This window comes from Homo sapiens, chromosome 3 (genome assembly GCF_000001405.40).
Source record: "Homo sapiens chromosome 3, GRCh38.p14 Primary Assembly".
Classification (NCBI taxonomy): Eukaryota; Metazoa; Chordata; class Mammalia; order Primates; family Hominidae; genus Homo; species Homo sapiens.
Genome location: NC_000003.12, coordinates 68,970,413 through 68,997,647, shown reverse-complemented (window position 1 = coordinate 68,997,647; position 27,235 = coordinate 68,970,413). Strand labels below are relative to the sequence as shown.

At 41.9% G+C, this 27,235-nt stretch overlaps 1 protein-coding gene across 22 annotated transcripts in view; it reads left to right on the top strand.

Moving 5' to 3' along the window:
* The window catches only part of EOGT (EGF domain specific O-linked N-acetylglucosamine transferase), a 38,460-nt gene extending 16,037 nt beyond the window's left edge, over positions 1–22,423 (top strand). For 8 of the 22 annotated variants that reach the window (NR_103826.2, XM_017006205.2, NM_001278689.2 and 5 more), the window contains 8 exons: positions 8,631–8,723; positions 9,071–9,142; positions 9,267–9,353; positions 10,135–10,203; positions 14,776–14,837; positions 17,861–17,980; positions 19,213–19,315; positions 19,884–22,423. Coding sequence is in view for 21 of the 22 variants with exons in the window: in XM_017006205.2 (XP_016861694.1) it covers positions 8,631–8,723; positions 9,071–9,142; positions 9,267–9,353; positions 10,135–10,203; positions 14,776–14,837; positions 17,861–17,980; positions 19,213–19,315; positions 19,884–20,030 (753 nt within the window). In the remaining variant the exon portion in view is untranslated. Of the gene's footprint in view, positions 1–3,872; positions 3,896–3,927; positions 4,045–5,772; positions 5,827–8,630; positions 8,724–9,070; positions 9,143–9,266; positions 9,354–10,134; positions 10,204–14,775; positions 14,838–17,860; positions 17,981–19,212; positions 19,316–19,883 lie in introns of those variants that run through there. The other 14 variants (XM_011533602.2, XM_011533600.2, XM_011533599.2 and 11 more) reach the window with 5 other exon arrangements.

The window sequence follows — 27,235 nt, the reverse complement described above, 5'->3', positions numbered from 1 at the left end:
CCTATAATCACAGCACTTTGGGAGGCCGAGGCAGGTGGATCATTTGAGGCCAGGAGTTCGAGACTAGCCTGGCCAACATGGTGAAATCTTGTTTCTACTAAAAATACAAAAATTAGCCAGATACGGTGGCAGACACATGTTGTCCCAGCTACTCAGGAGGCTGTGGTCGGAGAATCACTTGAACCTGGGAGGTGGAGGTTGCATTGAGCCGAGATCGTGCCACTGCACTGCAACCTGGGTGACAGAGCAAGACTCTGTCTCAAAAAAAAAAAAAAAGGCTGTCATTCACTCAACCTCTGTAACCTATGTTGGAAGTGCTTGCCTCTGTTTACTGTTTGGCCTTTTGCATTTACTGTCTGCCTTTGCTTAATAGCAGCTTCCTTGTTACTGTGTCCTTTGTGCTGAATTATGCTGTGTGTTTCAGCTCACTGTAAAGGGCAGGTCTTAGGCATGCACATAAATGCATGTGTTGAGTGACACCTGCTATTTATTTGTTTTTAGTGCAATCTTTTTTTCCTTCTCTCTCTTTGCCTGCCTTTTCCCTGCTTCTTCCCATATCTGGCCCCTCCACTTGCTGAGGAAACCCCAAGATGTGCCCCAGAATCTTCAGCTCTGAAATGAGATAGTGAGATAATGACATTTACCTAGGTGTCATTTTGAGAATGAACCGTGTAGTGTGTGAACAGTCACCATGCCTGGTACACAGTACTTGTGCTCTGAATGTTAACTGTGACAATTACAATAAGGAGAATAAATGGTTTGTAGTGTACATGAGAGAGGCTGTCTAAACTGGGAAGTTGGAACACCCACCAAGGGGTCATATAAGGTTCCACTCAACATTCTGACTCACGACACTCATATGCTCGGCTCTTGGTGTGAGTCTATTCAGGATGACATTGCAGGGGAACCACAGCTTGCTGGCAGGGCAGCCTCAGGTGTTTCTTCCAGAGGGAGTGCTAGCAGTTCACACAGCACAGCTCAGGTGCAAGGAGACAAGATTCGCCTGGGGCAGGTACAGGCGATGCCTTGGCTTAGGAGCCTCATATCCTGTAGGGGCCAACATCTCCTGACACAGCTGTGTTGGCAAAGTCCCCAGGATCCCTGAAAGAGACATGCCTGGTTCCAGGAGTCAGCGTACTCAGGGAATCCGAAACATGGCTTTCCCAGTCCAGATGCAGTTTACCCATCAAGCATCTTTTTAGATCAGAAGCATTGTTGCCTAGGCTTGTTGACACAAGCTGTCCTCATTTGCAGAGAGCCGACTTAGCTAGTTAACAGGAGGTCAAATTCTCATGCAGAAGGAGAGACAGTTTTGCCGACCCTTAATTTCACTGATAAGAGGCTTGTAGTAGAGCTGTGTAAAAAGGTTTTCAGGATCACTGCTCCCTAGACTTTGAGTTAGATTTGAAGTCTGATGAGACTATAATTCTTGGCGTGTTAATGCTTTATTTTCCGTCTATATGCATTTACATTTTCCTCTTGTATTTCAGTTTTGCTGCCACCACAGTTTCATTTCTTCGAAATGTTTTGTGAGCAAAGGGAACAACAATCCCTTTCTTTTCTTCTTTTTGTATCAGTGAAGTCAGGCCACACTCACCAGCCATTACAAGCCCTAAATTATTAACTCAGGGTTGTTTTGCCGTTTTTAAACAAAACTATTTTTAAATTTTGTAATTAACATAAATTATGTTACTTCATTTCATGCTTATGACCCCCGTGGACTTGAGTTTTCATTAGCTTATCTTACAGACAAGAGGCCGAGGCCTGAGCAGCAGGTGAGTGTTCTAAGATAATGCTGTCAGCGAGGGCAGAACCAAAGTTTCCATCCAGGCAGCCTGACCCCAGACCTGTGCTCAGACACCACAGTGCTCTGTCGTCTTCTTAAAGTCCTCTGAAGAGGACTCTACCTAAGTTGCCAAACAGAATTTTATCAGATGACAGAAATTTATCAGATGGCTTCCAGAAGCTTCCTTGTACCTGTTGCATGCTTTTCTACATCTTCCTCAAATGGGCTTAGTATAACTTAGTCACATTAGCTCACTGTAAGTGAGCCAGCTCCTACAACCCTCCCCTTCTCTGTGGCTGCTGGAGTAGGATGCACGGCCACCATGAAGACCCCAGGTTACTCAGTCAGCTGAGCATGAGACATGAGGGCAGTCTGACCTCAGCTCTGGCACAGTTAAGCAGGATGGGTGTAGCCCAGCAGGGTGGCCGCCTGGTGTTACCTCCTTCCTTTGCCACTCCATGTGCATCCATTTTAAACCCGGACGCTTGGTCAAAGAAGCCATTTACTAAGCCAGGTTCTCAGGACAGGCAATTCTGCCAGATTGCTCCAGAATTCAGGTCCACAGGGTAGGTTGGATGGGGATGGCGCTAAGTAAGGGTTTGTGTGGCTGCTGTTTCCCTTTTGTTGGTAAGGACTTAAATTAAGCATCACTGTGACCTGCAGGCTGACTATGACATGAATCCCTCCCGGTGGATGGTGTTGCCAGAGTCCTGATGGTCTTGGATGAGCAGTTTGCCCAGGGAAGAGCAGGGAGGTAACTGTGACTGCAGTTCACATCTTGGTGATATTTTCCAACCTGTCATCACAAGGAAGCCTATGGGGCCTTTCCCTCTCCTCCTTGAAAAGCTCTGCAGTTTACTCCCTTCAGCATGTGGCATCTTCAGTGGGATGGGCAAGGCCACCAACCTGCAAACATGCATAGAGGGACCCATCTTCAGATGCCTCTCTGGGCACAGCAGGGTTGCTCTTATCAAACAGAATGAATAAAAGGAGAAATTACGGCAGGCTTTCCACATTTGCTTGTGCTGAGAAGTAGTATAGCTTTATGATTACTTTTTTTCTGTTTGTTTTTGAGACAGAGTCTTGCTTGTCACCCAGGCTCAAGTGCAGTGTCGCGATCTTGCCTCACTGCAACTTCCGCTTCCCAGGTTCAAGCGATTCTCCTGCCTCGGCCTCCCCAGTATCTGGGATGACAGTGTGTGCTATCACACCTGGCTAATTTTTATATTTTTAGTAGAGACAGGGTTTCACCATGTTGACCAGGCTGGTTTCGAACTCCTGACCATAGGTGATCCGCCTGCCTTGGCCTCCCAAAGTGCTGGGATTACAGATGTGAGCCACCGTGTCCAGCCATGATTACTTTTTTAATTATGAAAGTAATACCTGATTATAATGAGTTCAAACAACACAGAAGTATGTGAAGTTTTTAAAAAAGTCTCCTTCTTCCTCTCCAATTCCCTGTTCCCCCAAGGGTAACTGCATTTAACGTGTGTGAGTCCCTTGCAGGACTCTCTTTATTTTAATAAGTGCAAATATGTCACCCAGGCTAAAGTCCAGGAATATGATCCTAGCTCACTGCAGCCTTGCTCTCCTGGGCTCAGGTGATCTTCCTGCCTCAGCCTCCCAAGTAGCTAGGACTACATGTGCATGCCACCATACCTGGCTATTCTTTTCCATATATGTGTTATATATGTGTTATGACAATATAGTCATAACATATGTGTGTGTGCGTATATATAATATATATTACTGTCTTCTGATTTGACATCTGGCTAATTTTTAAATTTATTTTCTGTAGAGACAAGATCTCGTTATGGTACCCAGATTGGTCCTTGATATGGTTTGGCTGTGTCCCCACCAAATTTCAGCTTGAATTGTATCTCCCAGAATTCCCACATGTTGTGGGAGGGACCCAGGGGGAGGTAATTGAATCCTGGGGGCCAGTCTTTCCTGTGTTATTCTTGTGATAGTGAGTAAGTCTCATGAGATCTGATGGGTTTATCTAGGGTTTCCACTTTTGCTTCTTCCTCATTTTCCCTTGCTGCCACCATGTAAGAAGTGCCTTTACCTCCCACTATGATTCTGAGGCCTCCCCAGCCATGTGGAACTGTAAGTCCAGTTAAACCTCTTTTTCTTCCCAGTCTCGGGTGTATCTTTATCAGCAGACTGAAAACGGACTCATACAGTAAATTGGTACCAGTAGAGTGGGGTGTTGCTGAAAAGATACCTGAAAGTGTGGAGGTGACTTTGGAACTGGGTAGCAAGCAGCGATTGGAACAGTTTGAAGGGCTCAGAAGACGACAGGAAAATGTGGGAAAGTTTGCAACTTCCTAGAGACTTGTTGAATAGCTTTGCCCAAAATGCTGATAGTGATATGGACAATAAAATTCAGGCTGAGGTGGTCTCAGATGGAGATGAGGAACCTGTTGGGAACTGGAGCAAAGGTGACTCTTGTTATGTTTTAGCAAAGAGAGTGGCAGCATTTTGCCGTGCCCTAGAGATTTGTGGAACTTTGAACTTGAGAGAGATGATTTAGGGTATTTGGCAGAAGAAATTTCTAAGCAGGAAAGTATTCAAAAGGTGATTTGGGTGCTGTGAAAGACACTCAGTTTTAAAAGGGAAACAGAGCATCAAAGTTCAGAAAATTTGCAGCCTGATTGTGCAATAGAAAATAAAAACCAACTTTCTGGGGAGAATTTCAAGTCAGCTGCAGAACTTTGCATAAATAGCAAGGAGCCTAATGTTACTTCCCAAGACCATGAGGAAAATGTCTTCAAGGCATGTCAGAAACCTTCATGGCGGCCGCTTCCCATCACAGGCCTGGAGACCCAGGAGGAAGAAGTGGTTTTGTGGGCTGAGCCCAGGGTCCCCATGCTGTATGCAGCCTAGGGACTTGGTGCCTTGTGTCCTAGCCGCTCCAGCCATGGCTGAAAGGAGCCAATGTACAGCTCAGGCTGTGGCTTCAGAGGGTGGAAGCCCCAAGCCTTGGCAGCTTCTATGTGGTGTTGAGCCTGCGGTGCACAGAAGTCAAGAATTGAGGTTTGGGAACCTCCACCTAGATTTCAGAAGATGTATGGAAATGCCTAGATGCCCTGGCAGAAGTTTGCTGCAGGGGCGGGGCTCTCATGAAGAACCTCTGCTAAGGCAGTGTGGAAGGGAAATGTGGGGTTGGAGCCCCCAAACAGAGTCCTTAGTGGGGTGCTGCCTAGTGGAGCTGTGAGAAGAGGGCCATCATCCTCCAGACCCCAGAATGGTAGATCCACTGACAGCTTGAACTGTGCACCTGGAAGAGCCGCAGACACTCAATGCCAGCCCGTGAAAGCAGCCAGAAGGGAGGCTGTACCCTGCAAAACCACAGGGGCAGAGCTGCCCAAGACTGTGGGAACCCACTTCATGCTTCAGTGTAACCTGGATGTGAGACCTGGAGTCAAAGGAGATCATTCTGGAGCTTTAAAGTTTGACTGCCATGCAGGATTTCGGACTTGCATGGGCCCTGTAACCCCTTTGTTTTGGCCAATTTCTCCCATTTGGAACGGCTGTAATTACCCAATACGTGTATCCCCATCGTATCTAGGAAGGAACTAGCTTGCTTTTGTTTTTACAGACTCATAGGTGGAAGGGACTTGCCTTGTCTCAGATGAGACTTTGGACTGTGGACTTTTGGGTTAGTGCTGAAATGAGTTAAGACTTTTGGGGGACTGTTGGGAAGGCATGGTTTGTTTTGAAATGTGGGGACACGAGATTTAGAGAGCCCTGGGCAGAATGATATGGTTTGGCTGTGTCCCCACCAAATTTCAACTTGAATTGCATCTCCCAGAATTCCCACATCTTATGGGAGGGACCCAAGGGGAGGTAATTGAATCATGAGGGCCAGTCTTTCCTATGCTATTCTCGTGATAGTGAATAAGTCTCATGAGATCTGATGGGTTTATCAGGGTTTTCCACTTTTGCTTCTTCCTCATTTTCTCTTGCCGCTGCCATGTAAGAAGTGTCTTTCACCTCCCGCCATGGTTCTGAGGCCTCCCCAGCCATGTGGAACTGTAAGTCCAGTTAAACTTCTTTTTCTTCCCAGTCTCAGGGTATGTCTTTATCAGCAGTGTGAAAACTGGCTAATACAGTCTTGAACTCCTGGCCTCAAGTGATCCTCCCACCTCAGCCTCCCAAAGCACTGGGATTACAGCCATGAGCCTGGCCAATATGTTTATATTCTTATGGAAAATACATTCTCTGTCTCATATTGCCACCTTAGTATTATCTGTGGAATGTCTTTTTAAGTCAGTACCTTTAGGGCTATCCTTGCTTTAGATGTTATGTGGTATTCTGTTTAATGGATGTTTTGGAAGTTGGATGCATGCATCAGTGCATGTATTCATTTCCCACTCCACCCCCCATCACATTTAGTTTTGTTTCCAGTTCTGTGCTATTTACTGAAATGTGACCATAAACACATATGTCCTTTCAATATACCTATATCTTCACATGCTCATCCTAGCATTTCTGTAGGACAGATTCCTATAATTGGAATTTCTAAGTCATAGATTATGTGCATGTTTAAATTTGAGACACACTAAAGGAAATTTTATGTCATCTTGAAGACTATCCAAATATTCTTCAACATGAGTATAGGAAGAAGTGCCTCCTTCCCAAATGGTGGATAATTTGGACTTGGGAAACATGGAAAAGAAGCTTTTGGAGGTGGTTCTTATTCAATAATGTATGACTTCCCTGAGGAAGGATCAGTCAGGATTACTGTATTTTATTATTAAAATTTCCTTTCAAACATATTTTATTTTATCTGAAGTATTTTATCTCAGGAAACCATCTAGAATCACTTCTTTTAATTGCCCTTTATTTATTATTGAGCCAGAACAGGGACATTTCATTTTAGATGGTGTTGAGAAGGGCCTTTATTAGAATGGCATTGGAGGAACATGGAAAGAAGGCTTTTTTTTTTTTTTTTCACATCTAACAGATCTCAATAACTTTGAAATAACTGTAATATGTGCAACATAAAATTTTCAAAATCTGAGAAAAGAATGCTATAAAAAAGAGACATGAACATAATGTATAACTGTAGAGCTTGAATGTAGTGCTACAATGCATATTTCTGATTTCTATTGGCTGAATTTTTCAATCTAAGTGAAACCATTTAAAAATTAATTGATCTTCTTAGCTAATGGAGCTCATAATCAACTACTTTTCAAAAAATAAATCAGGCTGGGTGTGGTTTCTGTAATCTCAGCACTTTAGGAGGCCGTGGTAGGCGGAGCACTTGAGCTCAGGAGTTTGAGACCAGCCTGGCCAATATGGTGAAACCCTGTCTCTATCAAAAGATACAAAAATTAGCCGGGTGTGGTGGCGTGCGCCTGTAATCCCAGCTACTCGGGAGGCTGGGGCAGGAGAATTGCTTGAACTTGGGAGGTGGAGGTTGCAGTGAGCCCAGATCACGACATGGCACTCTAGCCTGGGCAACAGGGTGAGACTCAGTCTCAAAAAAAAAAAAAAAAAAAAAAGCATGTGGTAATTATACTGGAAAGAACTAATTCCTGCTGAAAGGCAGCTGTCAGATGGAAGTGGCAGCACAGGCTGGGTTGAATACCAGCTCTATAACTCAGCTGCTTCGCAATGTAGGCAAATGACTTAAAATTGTGTCTCAGTTTCCTCATCTGCAAAATAGAGAAAATGATATTATCAACTCATTAGGCTTGTGGGTGGCTTAATGTACATTAATAATATCAAGTGCCCAAAAAAACTGCCTGGAACATAGGAAGTATGTAAGATGCTATTATTATTATATAAAGTTGTTATTGACACCATTAATATTAATGGGAAATTACCACTTTTTATTCACTAGTCAATGGGTGGGGGGATATTTCATAGAATTACATATGTTATATATTTTTATTTTATTTTATTTTATTAGAGACAAGGTCTTGCTCTGTTGCCCAGGCTGGAGTATATGGCATGATCATAGCTCACTGCAGCCTTAAACTTCAAGGCTCAAGTGATCCTCCCACTTTGCCTCCCAAAGCGCTGGAATTACAAGCATGAGCCACTGTGACCAGCCTATATTTTTAATGTTAAACCTTTCTTTTTTTTTTTTTTTTTTTTTTGAGATGGAGTTTCGCTCTTGTTGCCCAGGCTGGAGTGCAATGGCATGATCTCGGCTCACTGCAACCCCCGCCTCCCAGGTTCAAGTGATTCTCCTGTCTCAGCCTCCCGAGTAGCTGGGATTATAAGCACATGCCACCATGCCTGGCTAATTTTTGTATTTTTAGTAGAGATGGGGTTTCATCATATTGGTCAGGCTGGTCTCAAACTCCTGACCTCAGGTGATCTGCCCGCCTCGGCCTCCCAAAGTGCTGGGATTACAGCTGTGAGCCACCGCACCCAGCCAGTGTTAAAACTTTGAACCCATTTTCTTGCTCTGAAATTTTTTTCCAAAGATTTTTCATTCACCCTGATGGTTTTTGCACACTGAGCATAAGAGTGTGTGTAAACGGTGGCATAGTGTGTGTTGTGTGTATCTATAATTTGGATAAGATGTTCACAGGAAAAAGCCCTGAACTACAAAGATGTGAGAATAAAAGAAGTTAAGGTAGAAAAATGAAACACTATTAATGGCTAAGAGTATAATTGTGATAATTATTTCTGATGATATTTCATCAAATTAGGCATTTGCTCTGGCCCAAGATGAAGATCCATTTTGCTTGTATGGATTTTATGAACTTGCGTAGGATTGTTAGTTTTTAACACAGGCAAATTCAGGTATTTTGTTGCATCTTTGAAAAGTCATGTTATATCCTTTTATTGCCCTAAAACCTTGTTTTGTTTCTACTTTCAGAGTTCTTACGGATATGGTGACCTATTCTCCGACACATGGAATGCATTTACTGATTATGACGTTATACATTTGAAAACTTATGATTCCAAAAGGGTACTGGAAATTTTCCTGAAATGTCTGTGAATATTTCTTGAGTGCAGATGACTCACTCATAAAATAAACATTTATTATGAGTTCCTATTAGCCATTACCACTGATTTCTGAATTTCTGAATTTCTTTTATAATTAGAATCCTCAGTGTTGTTAATCATGCAGCCTTTGAAAAGTTTTTTCTATAATCTTTCCAAAAATATGAATTCTGTTCTCTTTGAATGAAATAGTGTGCTATTCAAGCAATGCAAAATGGAGATTAATTAAAATCTATTTCTCAAAATTATACGTGCTATTTTTGGTGTGAAGGGTGCAAATTACATCTTCTTTTAATGTATCTTTGTTCTTAGGTATGTTTTAAAGAAGCTGTTTTTTCATTACTCCCCCGCATGAGGTATGGGCTGTTCTATAATACTCCTCTGGTAAGCACATTGTCTACCATTAGCATTCATATTTACAGACATAACATTTATACATAAGTTGACAGTATCTTAAATTATAATACAGAAGTATTCATTGTAATATGAACCAGTGTTTTTATTTTAGATATCTGGCTGTCAAAATACTGGACTATTCAGGGCATTTGCCCAGCATGTACTACACAGACTAAACATCACACAAGAAGGACCTAAGGTAATGGATACACTGCGGATTCTGAGGTGGGCTTGAGTTTTCTTCCCTAATAAAAATCGATACCACCTTTTCAGAAACAGAAATAATCAGGAGACCATGTTTTTGTGTTAACATTTTCTGGGGAGGCCAAGGCAGGTGGATCACTTGAGTCCAGGATTTCAAGACCAGCCTGGCCAACATGGCAAAACCCCATCTCTGCAAAAAATACAAAAATTAGCTGGACGAGGTGGCATGTGCCTGTAGTCCCAGCTACTCAGGAGGCTGGGGCATGAGAATCGCTTGAACCCAGGAGGCAGAGGCTGCAGTGAGCCAAGATCATGTCACTGCACTCCCGCCTGGGCGACAGAGCAAGACTGCCCCAAAACAAAACCCAAAAACATTTTCTGACCTGGAGTCATCTGAAACCAGGTGTCAAAAACCTATAAAAGAGAAGCTAAGGGATATTACAAGAATGTGCTTCCTCCTGTCCTCCTTTCCCCCTTCATTGGTTATATCTCCCTCACCTCCCCAAATGTTCATGTAACATACACAACCCCTGCCAAAAAATTCACCCACCCAACCAAACAGACAATGTAATGAGCTGGTTTTTGCCTTCGGTGGTTGAAGTGGATACATTTTTATTCCCTGAGAGTGGTGAAGGAATCAAGCTAAAAAAGAAGAGTTCTATTAATGTATCCTGGTTGAGTTTCATCTCTTTGTGAAAATCACATTTTGGGTTCAGATGTTCATTCATCTACCCAGGCATATGCAGTGTTATTTTACCGTTTCATTTTGATTACAGGATGGAAAAATTCGAGTCACCATTCTTGCACGGAGCACAGAATACCGGAAAATCCTTAACCAAAATGAGGTTAGTTTTTGGTATGCATTTTTAATGCCTTCATATTCAATTCATAGAGCAAATTGTGTTTTTTTTTTTTTCACATTACGTTAAAAGCTTTGGTTTAAAACTTAGTTTTGAGAAAAGTTTGATGGCCTATGCCCGGTTTATTTATTAGATTTGAATTTCTAGTGAGATTCACCAAACCACCCATAGACAAACTAGCTTTGCCTTATAGTAAATTTCATCTGCATCAACTCAGCATGGAAAAAGCTGTCAGAATCTTGCCTTGACTGCAGTAGAGGGCATCCGGACAGACAAGTAGCAAAAATGTAAGACTTTCTTTTGCATAGTTGATGCAACAGATGGTTGAGGCCATTAATCCTGTGGTATCAGCAGCAGATTTAGTTGGAAGAATCTCTGTCCTCTTACATGACCATGTCTTAGAAACTGCATTTTCAGCATCCTTACTCATTTCAGTAGCACCAACTCATAAATTACATTTAACCTCAATGAGATCACCATGCAAGGCCACTACCTACAACATCATGGCCTGAAGATAGCCTCTCAGTAGTAAGAATTTATTCTACAATAGTTAATTGAGCACCTGCTATGTGTCAGGCCATGTTCTAGGCCCTGGAGATAGAGTAGAGCAAAGACGGGGAAGGTGCCTGACCTCATGGAGCTTACACCGTAGAGGTGAGAGACAGATAAGAAGTAAGTGAAAACGTCAATAAGTACGGTGATGTCAGGCAGTGATAAGTGCTTTGAAGGATGAACCAGGGTGATGTCATAGAGACTGGGGATGTGGATGGATGGGGGTTTGTACTCACATGAGGGCATTCAAAGACCTAATCAGAGAAGAATCTAGCAAGGGAGAGAGCCTCTCGGGCAGAGTCAAATGTATTCTAGTGGACTGAGCTTTCAGTATTCTAGAAACAGAATACCAATATGACTGTAGCATCTTGAGAGAGGTGGGGCGATATCCAAGAGGTCAGGCATGGTGCAGGGGGCCACAGATCGTATCAGCCTCCTAGACCTTGGTGGGAGAGGGATTTTATTCCAGTGTAGGGGAAAGCCATTGTGAAGTTTTAAAGCAGGGCGTTGTTGGTAGAATAATGTCTCTTCCTGCTCCTCCCAAAGGATGTCCACATCCAAATCCCTGGAATCTGTGAACAGGTTAGGTTACATGGCATAGGGAAAGTAAGGTTGCAGATGGAATTAAGGTCCCCAACCAACTGGCCTTAAAGTAAGAAGATTATCTTGGATCATCCACGTGAGCCCAGTATAATCACAAATGGGCCTTAAACTCCATCTGCTAGAGAACTTTTGCCTCGGCCTGGACAGCTCTTTTCTTCACTGGATTCTTCTCACTGATCAAATCAGAGTTCATAATTTCCTTAAAAGTGGGAGAGGGAGATATAAGGGAAGTGGGGCCAGAGAGATGCCATGTTGCTGGCTTCGAAGATGGAGGGGGCAGGCCTATGAGTCATGGAGTGTGGAGGGCTTCTAGAAGCTGGAAAAGGTGAGGCAGTGGGTTCTTTCCTGGAGCCTGCAGGAGGAACACAGCCCTGCTGACACCCTGGTGTTAGTCCAGTGAGACCCACGTCAGGCTCCCATCCTGCAGAACTGTAAGGGGATAAATTGTGTTGTGTTAAGCTGCTAAATTTGTGGCAGTTTGTTACAGCAGCAGATAGAAAACAAATACAGAGGGAGAGACATGAATTGACATTTATTTTTAAGTCATTCTGCAAGGAGATTGATCAGAAGTTGTTATTGTGGCCCAGGGGAGAGTGTTTAGCCAAAGTGATGACAGTAGAGATGACATGGTAGATGCATTCAAGACATATTTTGGAGATAGGACCTATGATACTTACTTTTGGAATGTAAAAGTACATTCACATTAGAGAAGGCCAGGAAAGGTATCAAGGATCAAGTGTGACTTGAGGCTTTTAACTTGAGCAGATAAGTGGAAACAAACTGGAAAATATTCAGTAAGAGGAAAGTTGAGGGGGGAGGTGGTGTGTGTCATGTTTTGATGGGTAAAATATTTTACACAGACTAATTTGGCTGCCTAACAGGCTGATCCGAATTATGTAATTAACATCTCTTCCTGAGACCCATATGGATTACAGAGGACATGAACATATGGCATAATGAGGTGTTAATTGTAAGCTCTGTGGATGGAAGAAATGAGCAGTGTGTGTGTTTGTATGTGTGTGTTTAAAGACCTAGAAATACGAACGTATCAAATAGTGCAATGTTGGGAATACAAATGAGAAGCCTCACTAGCCAACAGATCAACAGTATATATTGGTATAGACCATACATATTGAGTGCAGTTGGGGGTCAAGCATATTATTGTGTGCTCCTTTTGTACATTGTGCCCCCCAACCCTCCCAGCAAACCCATGAGGTAGGTATTGTATTATTATCCTCTATTCTAGACAAGGACACTGAGGCTCAGTGGTTAAAAAACATGCCTAAGGTCACCCGGCTGGTGATTAGAGTAACGGGGGCGTGAGTCAAGGTAGTCAGGGACTGAAACTGCTTTCTTAGCCAGAGTGTGCTACTACTAAAACAGCAAATAGATTTCAGAGGAGGCAGAAGCTACCTCTGGCCCCAGTCCATCAGGAAGGGGCAGGCTGAGGAACAACATCAGGCCACTGCAGAGAAGTCCAGTAGAAAGGTATAGTGCTGGTAGATGCTTTAGTGCATGTGTGAGGTTTTCAGATCCAGTCATGCGCATTGCCCAGATGATGGCACCCAAAGGCGAAATTTGATCATTCAGCCCCCAACTCCAAGCCAAAGAGCACCCAACTGGCTGCTTCTTTCTTGAGGATTGGATGTTACTAGAAAGGCAGCTCCTGGGAAGGGAAGAAAGCACCTTTGGCTATACTTTGATTAATAAACAGGTATGTATTAATCAACCCAAATGGCCTCATTAAATCATGGCTTGTGGAATTCTGCCCAACTTTAGGGTTTGAATAGCCATCGGAAGGGATAGGGCCACCTTTTTCGTGCAACTAGAAGTCATGAAAAAGGGCATGCTTGCCCTGAGACCGTCAGCACACATGATTCCTTTTATGTGGGCAATCTTGTTAAAAGACCAAGGCTTATGCCATCTGCCATCTCTCCTGTAAAACAGAATTCTAATCTTCTTACCCCTTCAACTCTTTATAAGATTTCAGTGGCTGTCTGGAGAGGGAAATTTCCATGTTATGACTGTGTGCGTGTGTGTGTGTGTGAGTGTGAGAGAGAGAGAGAGAGGGGAGGGGATTAAATGTTGGTCACTGCTTGTTGCTTTCTGTAAGCAGGACAATAGAGTGCACTGGTTAAGAACGCAGGTTCTGGGGTCAGAAGACCTAGATTTATTTTTGGCTGTGCATTTGGGAGCTGTGAGATCCTGGGAAAGTTATTTCACTTCTCTGAGCCTATCTTGTCTAATTTGTAAAGTGGGCATAGTACTAATACTTACTTGGTATGATATTTGGTATGTTTTTTTCTTTTTTTAGACAGAGTTTTGCTCTTGTTGCCCAGGCTGGAGTGCAGTGGCACGATCTCGGCTCACTGCAGCCTCCATCTCTCGGGTTCAAGTGATTCTCTTCTCTTAGCCTCCCGAGTAGCTGGGATTACAGGCATGTGCCACCACACCCAGCTAATTTTGTATTTTTAGTAGAGACGGGGTTTCACCATGTTGGTCAGGTTGGTCTCGAACTCCTGACCTCAGGTGATCTGCCCGCCTCGGCCTCCCAAAGTGCTGGGATTGCAGGTGTGAGCCACTGCGCCCAGCCACTGGTGTGATTCTTACGAGGATTAAGTGAAGTAAACCTAACGACACTCTTAGAAATGCCAGCACCATTTACATGCCCCATCAATGATACTTGCAACTGTTGATGTTGCTGTTGCAGTGCAGTGCATGCCACAAGGCAACATGACACAGTTGCAGAAATTTCTGAATGGTGGTGATCCCCCGTGGCCTAATTGTGAGGGACAGAGAACCATGACTATATTTTTGATAATAGATTAACAATGCTTTGTTACTTTCTGTTTGCTAGAAGAATAATTGTTTTTCTATGTAGAAGTACTGAAAATGTTTTTCTGCCAAGACCTTAGTATTTTCAGAGGATGAGGTTCAAAGCGCTAGTGTTGTCTGAAATGAGATAATGGATGGGGCAAAAACTCTTAAGGTAAAGTCTAGAACATTTTGGGCATTCTGATGCCCAAAAATGTGTGTTGAAAGTTGAGGGAATAATAAGCAAATGGTAATAACAACAGTTAATGGTTAGCTATTTCTGTGCCTAGCACTTTACTTCCCTGAATTGTCTTCTCCTTTCAGCCTCACAGCAACACAGTGCATTGGTATCTGAGGGAGGTAGAGTCGTGTGTTCACAGGTGGGGCCTGGATTTGAACTTAATGACAGTTCAGAACTATTGACCTGAATGATATTTATTTATTTTCTTTTTATTTGTTGTTGTTGTTACCAAATGATATTTAATATCTGAAATAGTATATGCAAAAAAAGAAATTTTAGGACTCATAAGGGAAAAACAGAAGTGAAAGAAGGAAAAGAAATGCTAAATGTTTCTCTTTTTTTCCCAGCTTGTAAATGCACTGAAAACAGTATCTACATTTGAAGTCCAGATTGTTGATTACAAGTATAGGTAAGTAATAGCCAATCTCAGCAGACACTGTCAACTTTTGCTTGGATGAGGTCAAGGGGGCTAGAAAGCATTTTTCCAGTGGGAGCCATTGGCATTTGTAGGCCCAGAAGGGACAAGTAGACACTACAGATGAATGAAATGGGCAGGTGAAGTCCCTGGTAACAAGGGCAGTTACTCTTTGGCTTTCTGGGGCCTGATGTTGTCACTCCATCTCCTTATTCAAAAGAAGTGATGAATTCAGATTTTCATTTAAAATTTCAGAATTTTTTGTTTGTTTGTTTGTTTGTTTTTGAGACAGAATCTTGCTCTGTCACCCAGGCTGGAGTGCAGTGGTGCCATCTCAGCTCACTGCAACCTCCACCTCCTGGGTTCAAGTAATTCTCCTGCCTCTGCCTCCCGAGTAGCTGGGACTACAGGCGTGTGCCACCATATCCGGCTAATTTTTGTATTTTTTGTAGAGACGAGGTTTCACCATATTGGTCAGGCTGGTCTTGAAGTCGTGACCTCAAGTGATCTGCCCGCCTCTGCCTCCCAAAGTGCTGCAATTAAAGGCATGAGCCACCACACCCGGCCTAAAATTTCATAATTTTAAAAAATTGGCAGACTGGCCACGATGGCTCACGCCTGTAATCCTAGCACTTTGGGAGACTGAGATGGGTGGATTGCCTGGGCTCAGGAGTTCAAGACCAACCTGGACAACATGGTGCAACCCCATCTCTACTAAAAAATAAAAAAAATTAGCCGAGTGTGGCAGCGTGTGCCTGTAGTCCTAGCTGTTCAGGATGCTGAGGCAGGAGAATGGCTTGAACCCAGGAGGTAGAAGTTGAAGGGAGCTGACATTGCACCATTGCACTCCGGCCTGTGTGACAGTACGAGGCTCTGTCTCAAAAAAAAAAAAATTGGCAACTAGTTCAAAATTTAGGTGTTATAAAATTTATCAAATATTTGATAACATTATCAAATGTTTGATAACAAAAAAGTTATCAAAATTTAGATGTTATAAACCTAATTTGCCCTGCCTCCTGCCAGATTTCAACATCTGACTGAAAATTATTTATATGGGGATAATTTGAGGGTCAGAATAACATGAAATTTTAAAAAAACTTACCAAATATTTACATTTCTTTTAAAACTCTTAACACAACTAAAAGGCTTAGAAAGACAGAATATGCCTATTATTCACAGTTTGGGTAATTCCTGTTGCTAGAATTACATCTTCCTGGTAAAAGTAGTACATGTTTCTGGTTGAAAAGTCAAGCAGTATAGAAAAGATCAAAAGGAAAAGTGAAAACTTCTGTCTCCATGTCCACCTACAGTCACAGCTGTGTTTCCCAAATCTAACACTGTGAACACTTTCCAGTTAAAAGAAGTATACATATCCCAGCATGTGGGTATCTAATATAGATACACTTAATTTCAGAGAATGTTGGCATGGGAGCTTTGCACTTCATTCATCATACATTAGTTCATTTGTGCAATAAATCTCTATTGGGGACCCATGAGCTGGTCACCAGTCTCAGCAGTAGGAATCCCATTATGGCGGATGGCATAGCCCTGGTCTTGAGGATCTCAGACACTGAATAGAGGTAAATAGCAATTGTAAAAACAGCTACTATTTATCGAAATGTACTTTTATGCTTACTTGCTTTATCTCATCTCACGCTTTCAACAGTCTTCTGAGTTGGCCCAGCTAGTCCCATTTTACAGATTATGTAAAATCTGCTGCGCTGAAGAAATGTTGTGTCAGTGTTGCTTGAAGAAATGAGTGAGCCAATATGGGGCCCCCACATCAGTCCCAAAACCATTCACCTAGATGAGGCTGGGAAGAAATGGAAAGAACTGGGCAGGGCACCTCTGAGGCTGTATCATTGACTGGCTTTTAAGGATATGTTGTAGTTTCTCAGATAAGCAAGAATGATAATGAATTCGTACCTTGCCAGTCTGCGGGAAATACTAGTAACATGTTGGCATGGGGATTGGTGAGTGCTGACCACAGGCGTTTCCACAACTGGCAGTGCAGGGGTATGTTCACCTGGGTGAATGGCCGTCCTTCCCTTGGCATCAGTTCACATTCCTGGAGAAACTGAGGCACATGTTCTCGTTGTGATACACATACACATGGAGCTGTCATCTTTTTCCTATGCGGAGTTTTTGTTGTTAGCTGGTGTAAAAGGGAATTCAGCTTCCCTTCGTAGATCCAAAATAATCTTGATCATTTATTTTTCTTTACTTTGGGTAAGTTGGGGCTGGGAGATCTCATTTCTTTCTGTTTATTCAGAGTGTCACCCTTATTCCAGCATTTCTCCCTAGCCTCACCTCAGTGAATTGTTTGGGGACTGATTTTTGGTTCAAAGTTTACACACTGGTTAGTGTCTTGGATTTAGAGAACACTTGTACAGTCCTAACATGCATAAAATTGTGGATTTGTCTGTTCCAAAGGCAGGATAATGCCCTGGTGGTATCTGAGATCATTTTGGAGGTACCCAGAGGGCATTATAAAAACTTAAATCACACAAGGAGAAATGTTTCTTTTTAAAAAGTGCTTCTATTGTCCTAAGGAAATAGTTTTTAATTTAGTGCTAGTGTGTCACAACATCTCTTTAACACTTGCCAATTTCTCTTTTTCATGAAGAAAGAGCAGGCCTCAGGCTCTGAGCTTTGTCTTGCAATAGTATCTACCTCGATTTGAACACTACTTAGTTTGATTATATCAATTTTTACAGTTTTGTTGATGTCATATGTCACTGCTTTTCCATTTAAGACAGATATTAAAGTTTCCTTTAAAAAAAGTACTTAAACCTAAAAGGATAGGTGAGCTTACTTAGAAAATATGTTAAATTATTAAGAAACTTATTAATTACTAGAGCGCACTTGAAATTGGCAAAAATGCTTCTTAAAAATGGAATGTGGTTTAAAATGGGCAATACACTTTTATAAATATCCTTACTGTGAATCATGAACTAACTCAACCTAATACTTCTCTCTTCTCCCCATCTCTCTCATGTTATTCTGTATGTTCACAGAGAACTTGGGTTTTTAGATCAACTAAGGATCACACACAACACGGACATATTTATTGGAATGCATGGAGCTGGTCTGACCCATTTACTTTTCCTTCCAGACTGGGCTGCTGTATTTGAACTGTAAGTGTTGGGAGGCAGTTTTACACTGAAGCAACTGATAATGCTTTTTATGCATGCTAAAGCTTTCATTCTGAGCATCAAAAGGCTTAATATTTAATCATTCAAAAAGAGAAGTCACATCATATAGACAATCTGGAAAGAAAAGAGGCCTGAAGCTAAAAATACAAAGTCTGCAGCCTGCCATTGCACTTAGTAAGCCAACTACCCCTTCATCTTCCCATCCCGAGCATGATATGGAAGATGTGAATCTGTGGTTTCCTTATTCTGAGTTTGTTCCTGCATACCTCCCAAACTCTGAGCGTCTTCTTGCAAACAGTGTAGTTATTGTGTTAAAAGAAAGCATTTATGTCTCATGCACGACATAGCTTCAAAACACAAGCCAACCACTTAACTTAGTGCTTGCTGATCCCATACACAGGGAAACTGAGGCCCTTGGGTGTTCATGATTTGCCCAGGGCATACTTTTAACTCAGTGGTTGGTTTATGGAGACATGACCTTCCCTCTCATAATAATTCTGCTGTTGGCACTGTGCTCCATTTTAGGTCTTGAGACACTAATAGCAGTTACTGTTACCTGTTTCCCCCCATTATGTCTAAATATCTGGGTTCTATGGTTTCATTTTAAAAGTGATTTGACTCTGTATTTAAATAGGAGGCTATTTAGGAAAAAAGTTGTCATGAACTTCCAATGCCCTGCAAAACATTTCAAAAATATATATGATATATGTAGAGAAATAGCCAGATAATGGATTCTATCTCTGTCATTTCTCTTATAGAGAGAGAAGGAAGGATGGAAGAAAGGAGAGAGAAGGGAGAGAAATGTAACTGAGAAAACTCAAGCCTTATAGTCTAATGGACCTGGGTTCTACTTTTGCATCCTTCACTATTTAGTTATATGACCTTGGAAGTGTTACCTATCCCCCTTGCCTCTTTCATACATTTAAAGACAGAGGTATTATAAGGTCATGCCAAGTCCATAGGCAGCAGGCCCTATTGAATAAGGTCAATTCTCTCCATTCCATGACCCTATTTTGTTTTTTAAAAGTTAAGTTCATTTAGTTCAGAGAATATTTTTACATTCTCTTCCTCAGTCTTGTTTACTGTCTTCCTCAGTCTTGTTTACAACCTTTTGCAAGGACATATTTGGGAGCTGCATTTTATTTTCGCAGAGTTGTTGATTTGGAAAAAACCTTGGACAAAAGCCTCATGTTGTGACACCCTTGTGTCCTTAGGTACAACTGTGAAGATGAACGCTGTTACTTAGACTTGGCCAGGCTGAGAGGCGTTCACTACATCACTTGGCGACGGCAGAACAAAGTCTTTCCTCAGGATAAGGTAAAGTTCAATCACAAAACTTACCTTGCTTCATTTTTAATTGGTTTAAAGTATCCAATTATTGATATGAAAAATGGTTATTGAACTTCAGTGCTGCAAAGATAAACTGTTCTCTGGAATACTGAATTGTTTTATTTTATATTTGCAAATAGGAGAAAAAGGGGAATTAAGCAACCTATATCTTTAATGTTACAAAGGCAGCTTCGTGAAATTTGGGCTTAGAAAGATCTATTAGATTATATATAGAGACGGGATCAACAAGCAACAGCCCTGTGGGCAAATCCAGCCCATGACATGTTTTTGTAAAGAAAGCACAGTCATGCCTGTCTGTTTATGCACTGTCTCTAGTTGTTTGTGCACTTCAACGACAGTGGAGTAACTGTGACTGAGACCTTAGAGTCAGCAGAGCTGAAAATATTTATCATCTGGCCCTTATCAGGAAAAGTTTGCTGGTCTCTGATGTAGAACATAAATTAGTTGCCTTAACCAAAGTAACATAATTTTCCTGCTGTAGAGAAAACCATGCCCTCATTGAGTTATGGATTCGTGTTTTGGTTTATTTTCACAGGGCCACCATCCAACCCTGGGGGAGCACCCGAAGTTCACCAACTACTCTTTCGATGTAGAAGAATTTATGTATCTTGTCCTTCAGGCTGCAGACCACGTATTGCAACACCCAAAGTGGCCATTTAAGAAGAAACATGATGAGCTATAAATATGCTGAGTCTGTTTGCAAAAAGAGAGTGTTTAAACACTCCAACACCCAGACTTAGAATTAAATCAGTAAAGCAATCTGTTATTTCCTATCCCCGAATTACCTTTTCTATGCCAAAACATACCTTCAGGATATTGTTATGTGTTGTATAGATGTTAAGTGTTTCATGTGGTTTTTGTGTCATTGCTATTTATCAATAGCAATAATTTTGCACTGAAAACTTTTTATAGTTCAAAAATTAAGCATGGACTCCCCAGTATACTTTAACTTTCTTTCTTTCTTTTTTTTTTTTTGGAGACAGAGTCTCACTGTCACCCAGGCTGGAGTGCAGTGGCATGATCTCAGTTTATGCAACTTCTGCCTCCCCAGGTTCAAGCGATTCTTTTGCCTCAGCCACCTGACTAGCTGGGATTGCAGCCTGCACCACCACACCTGGCTAAATTTTTGTTGTTGTCGTTGAGATACAGTTTCACTCTGTCACCCAGGCTGGAGTGCAGTGGCATGATCTCAGCTCACTGCAACCTCTGCCTTCTGGATTCAAGTGATTCTTGTGCCTTAGCCTCCCAAGTAGCTGGGATTACAGGCGTGCACCACCACGCCCAGTTGATTTTTGTATTTTTGATAGAGACGGAGTTTCACCATGTTGGCCAGGCTGGTCTCGAACTCTGGGTTCAAGAAATCCTCCCACCTTGCCTCCCAAAGTGCTGGGATTACAGGTGTGAGCCACCACGCATGGCCCTGAACTTTCTCTTTTTAGGAATACCAAAGTTTTCAACTTTTTCAGCTTTAGAATTTGTAAATATTTTTGTAGAATATCATATGACTGTAATTCCAGAGTGTTCCAACTTGTTTATGATATATTTGGGTAAATTTACAACTGTTCTTTTATTTGCCATAATCTGGTTATAACACTGTTTGTGGTAGGAAAGGAAAACATGCAAAACATACACACACACACACACACACACACACACACGCAGAGTTGTGATTCTCAGTACCAAGCTATAGGACCATGTTATAGATCAGCGTTTAGTCACCTCCAGGTTATATGCATCGAGAACCTGAATAAATCATGCCACTATATTAATTTATATTACATGTTTCATATTTAAATCATGTTTTCCTAAAATGTAGCAACTACATGTGATAAAAGCAAATTAGAACATTCTGTAGGACTGTCTTGCATACCTTCTGTCTGGTTTCCACTGATTCCTTCTTAGCCATGGAGAGCATTTGTGATTAATTAATTTATATATGAAATAATGGTTTCCATTTTATGCGAGTATTTGTAACTGCATATACCAGTGCGTGTGCGTCTACCTCTGTCAGCATGAAAGTATTCCAGTCTTTAATTTCAAAAACTTCAAATTAGCCTCATGAAGAGAATTTTTCCCTGTGAAAAGTAAGACCAAGAAAAAACAAACTAAAGACATGTGACTTATTCAATGAAAGTGAAAAAGAAGCTCTAAAACAGTGTCATTGATTAAAAAGAATATCTGGAATGTAGCCCCACTCTTTGAGTGGGATTCATTTCTTACTGCTTATGAACTTTCAATTTAGTAGTCAGAAACCATGGATTTATTTTACTGCACAATGTGAAGTTTACATTTTATTAACACTTGAGTAGTCTGATTTAGAGACTAGTTACTTCTATTTTTTAAAATAATGGAGTAACAAATTACAGAATAGCTAAATAATTTTTTAAAAATATTTTACAGTTGTAAAAAATATCCATCAGAAAAATGACACACAAAACAAAATATCTGGACCTTTACAGAAGACGTTTGCTGACCCCCACTTTAAAGGATTGGAACAGTCTTCTAGAATTGAGGAATATTTATTAAAATACCTGTAAAGAAAATAGTGAATCACTGTAGCAATGGCTTTGATTCAGACCTTAAAATCACATAAGAAGAATTACAACATGTTATGGATTTTTAAGTGGCAGGTATTGTAACTGTTTTTTGTGTGCAAAATACTGAGTAACCACTGGGAAAATATTTCAGATGAAAGGGATGACAAAAGCATGTTGCGCTTTGCATCAGCAAGGCATTGACTTCTGAAAAAATGATCTGAAAAAAGTTTCACCGTTTGTCTTCTTACCTCATTTTAAGAAGCATGTGAAAATGGGATACTATAGACTACTGAGAATTTCAGAAATTGAGAACAATTTCATAATAAAACGGCTATATTTGAAGAGAGAATACATTTTATATAAACAGGAAAATACATTTGACACTTTATGGAATTTTATGAGACTTTTTGTGGGAACAGAAGGTCTTCAAATTGTAAAATGTAAAGATTGCTCTTTTTATTAAGTCTTTAACAGGGATGTATTTCATTGTATGTTTTGGGTATGGCTTTGGAATAAATCATTTTATATTTTATTTGAATATCAGAACCATTTTTAAGGTTTTCTGTGTCTGAATGTTTCTGTGCTTCCTTTTTGGCAATCTGGTAGCTCTTAGATTATAAAAATTAAGTACCTCTCTGATGAAGAATTCAGTTTGATCAAAAATGCCTTTTATTTAGCAGTTTATTACATGATGCTTCTATAAATGTTATATTGTATAATCATTACCAAAATGACATAAGAATTATGGTTCCTGTTTTTCATGTGAAGAATGCTTCCCTAAAGATCACAAGCCTTCTGATTCCACGTTCACAGTCTTCCATTCGTTTAGGGAAGTCTTCCATTCCACTCTAGGGAAGTTATGGGACTTCCCTGAAGATCACAAGCCTTCTGATTCCACGTTCACAGTCTTCCATTCGTTTAGGGAAGTCTTCCATTCCACTTTAGGGAAGTTATGGGACTTCCCTGAAGATCACAAGCCTTCTTCTGATTCCATGTTCACAGTCTTCCATTCGTTTATTTACTTGTTCATTTAGTAAATATTGATTGGGCTGCAACTTTGTATCAGTTACTATTCTAAGTTCTGGGAATACAGCAAAGAATAGATAAAAGTTATTGCCCTCATGGAGCTTACGTTCTGATGGAGACAGACATTAAACAACATAATGGAGCTTACATTCTGGTGGAGACAGACGTTAAATAACATCAATAAGATGTACCGTGTGCCAGATCCTGATACGTGCTATGGAGAAAACCAAAGAAAGGGATGTGGAGTCTGGGGTGGGGTGGAGTCCTGCACACTTAAGTAGGGGGTCAGGGAAGCCTTCATTGACTCAAGACTAGAAGGAGGTGAGGGATGGAGTTATGCAGATAACTGGACAAGGAGCATTCCAAGAAGCTAGAAGAAGATGTGCAAAGACCCCAAGGCAGAAGCATGCCTGGTATGTTTGAGGAAGAGCAAGGAAGCCAGTGTGGCTGGTGTGATCAAGGGCAGAGGAGTAGGAGGCAAAGTCAAGAGATAATGCAACAAGGGTGTAGATGGCAAGGTTCTGATGAGATGGAAGCCATTGAAGGGATCTGAGTAAAGTAGTAAAGACCTGCCTTATCTCTAACACACTAACTCTAGCTGTTACGCTGAGAATAGGGTGTGGAGGGATGTCTTAGGAAAACAGATTCTGGGATGGAGATTTGAATGCAGATAGTTTTTGGGGGGAAGGTTCTCACGATCAACACCTGTGAGGGTGTAAGGGGTCCAGGCTTGGGCAGAGGGAGAAATTGAGGGGCAATGCCAGGTGAGGCCTCAGCGGGGTGCTGTAGGGCTGGAGTGGCCTTTCAGTGAGGTCCCCAAATGAGGCAAGAAATGCACGAGGCAAGAAATGCACGTAAGTTCAAACAGGGGCCATCCCAGAGAGGGGTGGGGCCTTAGCAAGGCCACTTCCTTCAGCTGAGGGCAAGGCCTGGTGAGGAGCTCAGCTGTGACCCATCAGCAGCCAAATGTCAAGCAATCTGGGGACTGAGTGCTTCAGTCTGAAGGGGATCTCAGCGGCACATTCACTAGCGGGTGAGGTGGTGCCGAGGTGCCGTTTAGCTTGTCTTACTCTCCCTCCTGCTTCCTGTCAACTGAAAGTTGGATCTAAAGTCTCCTTAAGATTCAGATTGAATGTCTGTTTTTAAAGAATACTTATAGTTGATACCGTGTACTGCTGACTGAATATTTTAGGCTTTGTGGGCCACATATGGTCTCTGCTGCGTATTATTATTTGTTGCCCTCCTCCTGCAATCTTTTAAAAATGTAAAAACCGTTCTAAGATGTTTAAATAGAGGTTAAGGAACTTGCCCAAAGTCACACAGCCAGTAGCAGAAGGATTGGATATAGGGCTTTCTTGGTGAAGGAATTTTGAGTTAGGTAGGGATGTTTACATGTAATGCAGGAAGGAAGGAGGTCGGGGAGGAAGAAAGGGAGGAAGGAAGGAAGGGAGGGAAAGAGAAGGGAGAAATTAGTTGGGGGATATAGAACATGGAAAAAACAGTCCTGGAGTTGGGCCTTTTCTTGCCGTTAAAAAACGAATTTTTTGTTTTGTTTTTTAGTTTTCCGACAGGTCTCTCTCTCTCACCCAGTTTGGAGAGCAGCAGCGCAATCACAGGTCACCGTAGCCTCAAACTCTTGGGCTCAAGTGATCTTCCTGCCTCAGCTTCCTAACTAGCTGGGACTACAGGCATGCACCCCCAGGCCCGGATAATTTTTCATATTTTGTTGAGATAGAGTCTCACTATGTTGCCCAAGCTGGTCTCAAACTCTGAGCTTAAGAGATCCTCTGGTCTCAGCCTCCCAAAATGCTTGGATTACAGGTGTGAGCCACCACTCTTGGCCCAAAATAGTTCTTTTTTGAAACCTAGTCAGTAGAGAGAAAATACGGAAAATACTTGCTTTTTCTAAACTAGGAGCATATACACAAATCAACTCAGGTATGATTGCCCTGGAGAAAGCAATTGTTTAAAATAACCTACTCCCAAGCAAGGGCTGTTGCGAGAATACTTTAATACCTTGTTCTCTTTCGGCTTACTGGGACATGTCAAACGATGTTATAACCATTCTTGTCAAAACAGAAGAAGTGGGTTAGAGCAGTTTGCTCACGGTTTGTTTCTCCCTGGTTGTGTGCCCTCGCCTTGGCTGGTAGTGCACAGGACCACAAGGTGGCAGTCAAGCCCTTCCAAATGGCCTCTTGGGTGGTCTGAAGCCTGTGTCTGAATCTCATTGTAGATTCCAGGCACCCGAGTGTTAGGAGTAAGGCCTTGCTTCTGAGTGTGATGGATTTTGTTATTCCTGATTTGAGGGAAGGCGGGAAAATGATAACGGACCGTTTTCAGGTTTAAGTGTGGAATTGCTTAGCTGCCGCCAATAGCTGGATCCTGTATAGTATCTCCTGATCATCTTGTGGGAAGAGCACTTGGTCCCCAGAAGATTATTTCTAGTGACAGAAGCTGCTTAGGGGAATGCATTCTTTTTGACTTGGTAGAGAATTTGATGAAGACTCTAGCTCTATTTAGGATCTATAGATGGCACATGATCTCTTCAGTTCTTCTTCAGAGCAAATTTCTTTATGTTGGTCTTCTAGGTTATATTTTCTTACTTGTAGATTGGTGGTAATATACATTAGGCAGCGTTCATATAAGGATAAAATAAAAGAATAATGTCACACTTATTTAGTGCCTGGCACAAAACATGTTTAGTAAATGCTATTATTGTACTATAACATATAGAGTTATTATTTAAAGGTCTAATACCTGGGGAGCATTTAAATTCTGATCTCCAGACCTCTCCTCAGACCAAGTAAATCAGAATACCTAGCGGCACAGTCTGGCTGATTATATTTTGTTAAATGTCCCCAGGTGGTTCTGATGTACAGGGGTTGGGAACTGCTGTTCTGGAGACACTGATGAAGCTGGTGGCAATAGACAGTTCATGAGGTCTAAGCCAGAATTTGCCAAAGTATCTTCCACTGAGTGTCCATAAGATGTTCCACAAAAAAATGGGTTACAGCTGGGCGTGGTGGCTCATGCCTGTAATCCCAGCACTTTAGGAGGCTGAGGCAGGCTGATCGCGAGGTCAAGAAATCGAGACCATCCTGGCCAACATGGTGAAACCCCGTCTCTACTAAAAGTACAAAAATTAGCTGGGCATAGTGGCATGCACCTGTAGTCCCAACCACTTGGGAGGCTGAGGCAGGAAAATCGCTTGAACTTGGGAGGCAGAGGTTGCAGTGAGCTGAGATCCCGCCACTGCACTGCAGCCTGGCAACAGAGCGAGACTCGGTCTCTAAATATATAAATAGTTATTTGATAAATGCTTCCTTAAGTCAATTTAAAGCAAGTTTATTGCAGGACTTCTCAGCACCTTTGATGTATGTGCATTGTGAATCTCTAAACAGGAAGATGTCATATGCACTGTATGCAAGTTTATTTGACCATGGAATCTTTTCTTCAAGAGGTATGAGGATTGGTGTTGCAAGAATCCCACTCCAGGCAGGCTACCCTAAGCATTTGCCATGGCTAAAGCCGCCTTCTGGGGAAAGGGGGACCAGGCAGTGCCTTCACCATGCAGTTGTTCTGGTCAGTTGCATCTTATTTGTTGAGTTAAATCAACTGTGATACCTGGTTCTTGTTAATTGGACCAGGAATCAACAGCTGAGCCAAAGTCTATTCAATCAAGAGGCTGCGAGATAAACGGTAAATAAATGACCCATCCAGAGCCATTCTGCTGGGGACATTTGAAGGTGAGGTGCAAAGAGAATGCCAAAGTTCCTGGGACAAAGACACCAGATCTGAGCTACTGGGGTTCCTCCTCTATGGGGTACAATTATGAGTCACTTTCCAGTTATCCATGAAGCTGCTAGTACATTTAGGTTATGGATTGGATTAGCTCATCCTTACAATCTGAAAGAACTTCACTGCTACAGCAATGCCAACACTGCAGGTATTATTCTCCCCATACTACACCATGGAGATGCAAGCAAACTAAGGTTGAGGGATTTGGACCTTTGTTGTCTTACTCCAAGTTGAATGCCAGCCAGTTACATCACTGTGTTGTTGCCTCTCAAGCTGAGGTCATTCAATCAGCAGGACAAGAGTAGGCAAAAAGTAATCGTAGTTTCCAGAGAAATCTGGAGAGTAAATGGCAAGGACACAATTCAGCGGAAGTGTCTCCTGTCTTGGGTGGAAATCCAAGTCGGGCACAGTGTTAAGTAAAGGTGCCAGCAAAATCAGGCCAGTTTGATATAAGGCCATTGGATGAGGAATCAGCAGGTAGGGGATGAAGTTTAAGGTGACTGTTGCAAGTCCCAGAAGAAAACCC